A 4,608-nucleotide genomic window follows, 5' to 3' on the forward strand; every position below is an offset into this window, starting at 1 on the left:
TGGCAAATAGTCTGCCCTTATGAGATATTTATTTTACAAATTGATAAGTGAATGATAAGAGGCCTTTGCCTAGAGTTTTCAGAAGCACTTAAGCCATTTATTGAATTTTTATGGTATGTGGCACCCAAATTTTTTGTGTGGTTCAGAGACAAGACATTAAAGCAGAGGACCTGGGGATTTCCTTCAGGCTACAGGACAACCCAGAGTTGGTCAGTGATTGGTGAAGGCCACTGTGGTCTGATTACAGGATTAAAATCCTTAGTCTGTATTCAAAGTCCTCTAGCATATGGCTCCACTTTACTTTTCATCCTTCTGGTTCTTGGAGTAAGCATATATATTCTCAGTCAAACTGAGCTATTTTCTACCAGGTGTGTTCATCTCTGCCACTGTACTCTATTTATGATATTCTATTTGCCCCAAAATGCTCTTTCTACCCTTCCCATTCTTCCCAGCACTGCTTGCCCATCACCATGTATCTAAATTTCACTTCATGCCTCCCTCAAGACCTCCTCTAGGAATCATGCCTTCCATTAAAGTCTTCTTGTCTGACATCACCATCACCAGCTTCACCCTGGCTGGAAGGGGTCTCTCCTCTCCACTGTCACCATCATGATCTCCTTCTCCCCTGTGGAATTACCCCTCTCTACTATGTATCTGTAGGCTTTGGTCGTTTGTTTTTATTTGCTTTTTTTTTATGAGCCTTAGCTTTTCGATTAGACCAAGCAGAAGTTTTCTTTGTTTTTCTTAATCTGCCTCTACCTAGTTCACAAGTCCAAAGCATTGCTTGTTCATAGTAATTCTCAATTGCAGGGTACACATGGCAAGATCGAAAGAGGGGGAGTGGGGCAGAGTATCTGATTCTAGAGTGAGGAGAATGTATATATCCTAAAAAAAGGTTTCTTGCCTCTTGCCATCCCACCCTGTAATTTGTGACATCCCAAATAACCTTCTCATGCTTCAGATTCACCATACTAGGCTAGAACAGTACATGTATTATTTACCATTGCATCCCCTACTGTGTCCAACACAGTGCCCTGAATTTACTGGGTACAGAACAAATGTTTGATGAATGAATGAATGCATTCATGGGAAACCTTTCCGTTCCTTTGTACCTAGCACCTCCCTGATCCTAGGTTGGAAACACACATCCTTAAGGCAGGCTATAAAATACCTTCATCTTTAATCCTTATCCCCCTCCACAGACACCCACACCCTCTGACCAGGCATTTATCTCAGGGCACAAAATGCCATTTGCCTGCTGATCAAAGGCTGTGGGAATGGGCGGCAGGAGCAGCTGTGCTCAGATCCCGCCCACACCCTTCCTGTTTGCAGCAGCCCACCCCAGGGGCTATTATGCTTTCGGCAGGCTAAGGAGAGTCCCTCCTCCCTCCCCTCCTTCCCTGGTCCTTGCAGACACTGTGGGTCTGAAGTGGCAGCCCCTCGCCCCTGGAGCCTGCTCTCAGCATTTCATTGTCCCCAGGCAAGACATAGATAGCGGGCCAGACGCTCCTTTCCCCTTTCCTGGGACTCTGATAAGGCAATGAAAACAGTTCTCTATTTTCCTGCACAAAAGCTGACATACAAGAATGGGGTGGAGCATAAGTGATAACCAGCTAGAATTTGTTGCTTTTTAAAAGAAATGTGGTGGGGAAGGAAAGAGTGAAGACTAAAAGCTTTGAGTTTCTGCTCTGGGTTGTAAGAGGCAAACATCTTCCCATGACAATGCCCCCTTTTCAGTCTTAGAGGCTCATTTCCTTTCTGTAAGGGAAAACACTGTCCTCAGGTCAGAGGGCCACAAGAGACTCCTCCTAAGGTTGGCCAGGCCACCTGGGAGCCTCTCATGTGACCCATTTACCTAAAGCGTAGCTTACAGATCAGAATTAAGAGAGAGGGAAGAAGACAAGAATTTCTTCCTCCGTGTTTAATCCATTCCAGTCAGGATTCTCATTCTTTGGAACCCGTCTGTCTGGTCAATTTCAAGATGCGTGTGCGTGAATGTAGGGAGCTTCATATAAACCCCACACACTCTCAGTTTCCTCCAAGTGTCCCGTCCCTGATAAGGGGCTCCTTAAATAAACAAAACGATCTGCACAGTCCAAGTTATTTTTAGAGAGAATTCCTTCAGAGATGTAGCTGGTGTTTGGTAAATGCAGAGGTTAAAAAAAAATGGAGTGAAGAGATGGAGGATCGCTGTTTCTATGTAGAACTGAATAAAAATGGAATAGAGAAATACAATTTTTAAAAATGTCTTCTGGAAATACAACTTTAAAAAGTGTTTTCACTGCCCTGAGACTGGTGCTGGCCTCCTGCTGCCACCACTAGTTCTGGAACCTGGTGCAGTTAAAGAAACCTTCAGACTTCATCTTCTTCATTAGAAAAAGAAGGCTATTTCCTGAGCCCAATTTAAGGAAATTAATTGTTCTGGGGGTAGAGTCTCAGTATTGGTACTGATTTTTAAAGCAACCAAGATGATTCTAATGTACTGTCAGGGTTGAGAATCTGTGAACAAGATCATCTCTGAGGTTTATCCCCTGGTTCTAAAATTTTGTAGTTCCATAGTTTAGGTACCAAGTTTTTCTATCTAATCTCTATCATTTATCTAAAAACTTTATTTGGAGCTCCTTACTATCCCCAAGTCTTTCCAGAATTAGTGAAGAAAGACATTCAACAACTGGCCATGACTGCTTCTCCTTCCACTCTTGGAACAGAAGAGCAGGTTGTTGAGTATTTGCTCAATAACCCAGGGACCCAGTTTCCGAAGACATGTAAGCTTGGAGGCCTCTAGAGAATTAAAGGAGGGTCATATTCACAAACTTAACTTACCCAAGACAAATATAAAACTCTGTTCAAATACATACAGTGAGGAGAAGCAGACACAGACGTAGAACAACCCTGCTAGGCAATTTAGAGTCCTATCCATTTTTTGTCATGAAATAGGCAGTATTGGACAAGTGCATCCCAGCAATCACAGATTGAGATGGGCCTCCTCTATTTTCCTTGAGAAAACACTTGATTGTCTTTACAAATTGCACCATTTTAGATTTTTGCTTCTGAATTTGCAATATAAATTATTCTTAGGATCTTTCGGTTTCCCACGATGCCCTCTTTCATCAATTTTCCTGGCTAGAGTCTAAGATTCATATTCCTTTTTTCACTCCGAAATTGCTCATTTTTCCTCTAGAGAGGCTCTTCCACCACTGAGCGGTCTTGGCAGCGGCTCTTTGTGACAGTTGCCTATAGGCATTCCCAATTCTCGAGTGGTTTTAAAATCAAGTATGCAGCTGAATAAATAGAAAAGGAGCAAACAGCACAAAATTAAGTAAAATACCAAATATCTCATACAAATGGAATAGACAATAAAAGCAAAAGATAGAGATGATTGTGTCAACTTAGATGTTTAGAATAAAATCTCAGGAATTGGAAAAGATTCTATCAGCTATATAGGTCAAAATCCCAACCCATGCTCCCTTCAGCATCTTCAGCATCCAGCATCTGCGTAAACATCCACTGAGGAAGTTCACTCTCACAAGGCGTACCATTCCAGGTTTGATTTACTTTAATTGAAATCCACTTGAAGTCAAATATCAAATTAGAAGCACTGTGGATAATAGTGAAGCCCTAAAGAAAACATCAGTTCATAGCGCAAGAAGAGAAAAAACACAACTCAGAAAGAAAGGTTGTAGAATGGGAAGCAGAGGTCTGAGACATTTATTTATAATTTTCCTTTAGAATCACTTTAAAAACTGAACATTCACATGGCCTTTGCATGTTCCCACCTAGGGAGGACTGAGATGATATATTTCCATTCAGCAGCTTCTGCTGTTAGATAAAGAACTGAGACAAACCTCTTCCTAAAATGAATTTTTTTAAAAATAAAGAATTTGTTCTTTGAAGCTTCAACTATTTAGGCAAAAGGTACCTCATCTTTGTGTTCTAGTTATTTAAATGTTATGAATAAGTAGGAAGTATCATAATCATCTCTACTCCCCTGCCGCCAAATCCTGAACTTGTAGGTAGATGGTGTAAATATGTGTCATAATTTTTAAACCAAAACCACTAGGGTCATAGAGTGTTATTTTAAATCTGATCCTTAAAAACAAAGTTTTAACCCAAGGTACTTTAGGTAAGTAATGTACCTAAAGAAAGATAAGAACATACTGAGGATAAAACATATGCAATTTGCTCCCTGGGATTAGTTCCAGGTCTTGATGCATGGGTTTTATTCCTTCAACCCGAAAATATTGTCTTTTAGCTTGTTGTATTAGTGAAGGTAACAATATCCCATACACATCTCACATTTTCAGTATAAATCAAGACAGGTTTATTTTTCAAGTGCAATGGGTCCTTGTGCTGTTAAAAAATGATTGTATTTACCAGGATAGGAAAGAAAAAATAGCAAATATTTATTAAATACTCCTATGAGCCTGGAGCTGTGCTTAGAGCTTTACCTATATTACCTCATTTGAAGGAATAGTCAGGATTTGCTTTCTCTGAAGCCACTTCTGGGTACTAGAAAACTGAATCATCACCCACCTAGTTGTCCAGAGGCATTACATTTATATGGCACTTTAAACTTCTCTTGAGTACTTTCATATCTATAATCTCTTT

At 40.5% G+C, this 4,608-nt stretch overlaps 1 annotated feature.

Annotated features, from left to right (window-relative positions):
- Positions 615-1,814: an enhancer, noted in NCBI's record as "CDK7 strongly-dependent group 2 enhancer chr6:125849225-125850424 (GRCh37/hg19 assembly coordinates)". NCBI's record gives its function as "activates an origin of replication core promoter dependent on BRD2, BRD4, P300/CBP, MED14 and CDK7 cofactors, with strong dependence on CDK7, by STARR-seq in HCT116 cells {active_cell/tissue: HCT116}" and the evidence as "EXISTENCE:reporter gene assay evidence [ECO:0000049][PMID:35650434]".

The sequence above is a fragment of the Homo sapiens genome, chromosome 6 (assembly GCF_000001405.40).
Source record: "Homo sapiens chromosome 6, GRCh38.p14 Primary Assembly".
NCBI lineage: Eukaryota > Metazoa > Chordata > Mammalia > Primates > Hominidae > Homo > Homo sapiens.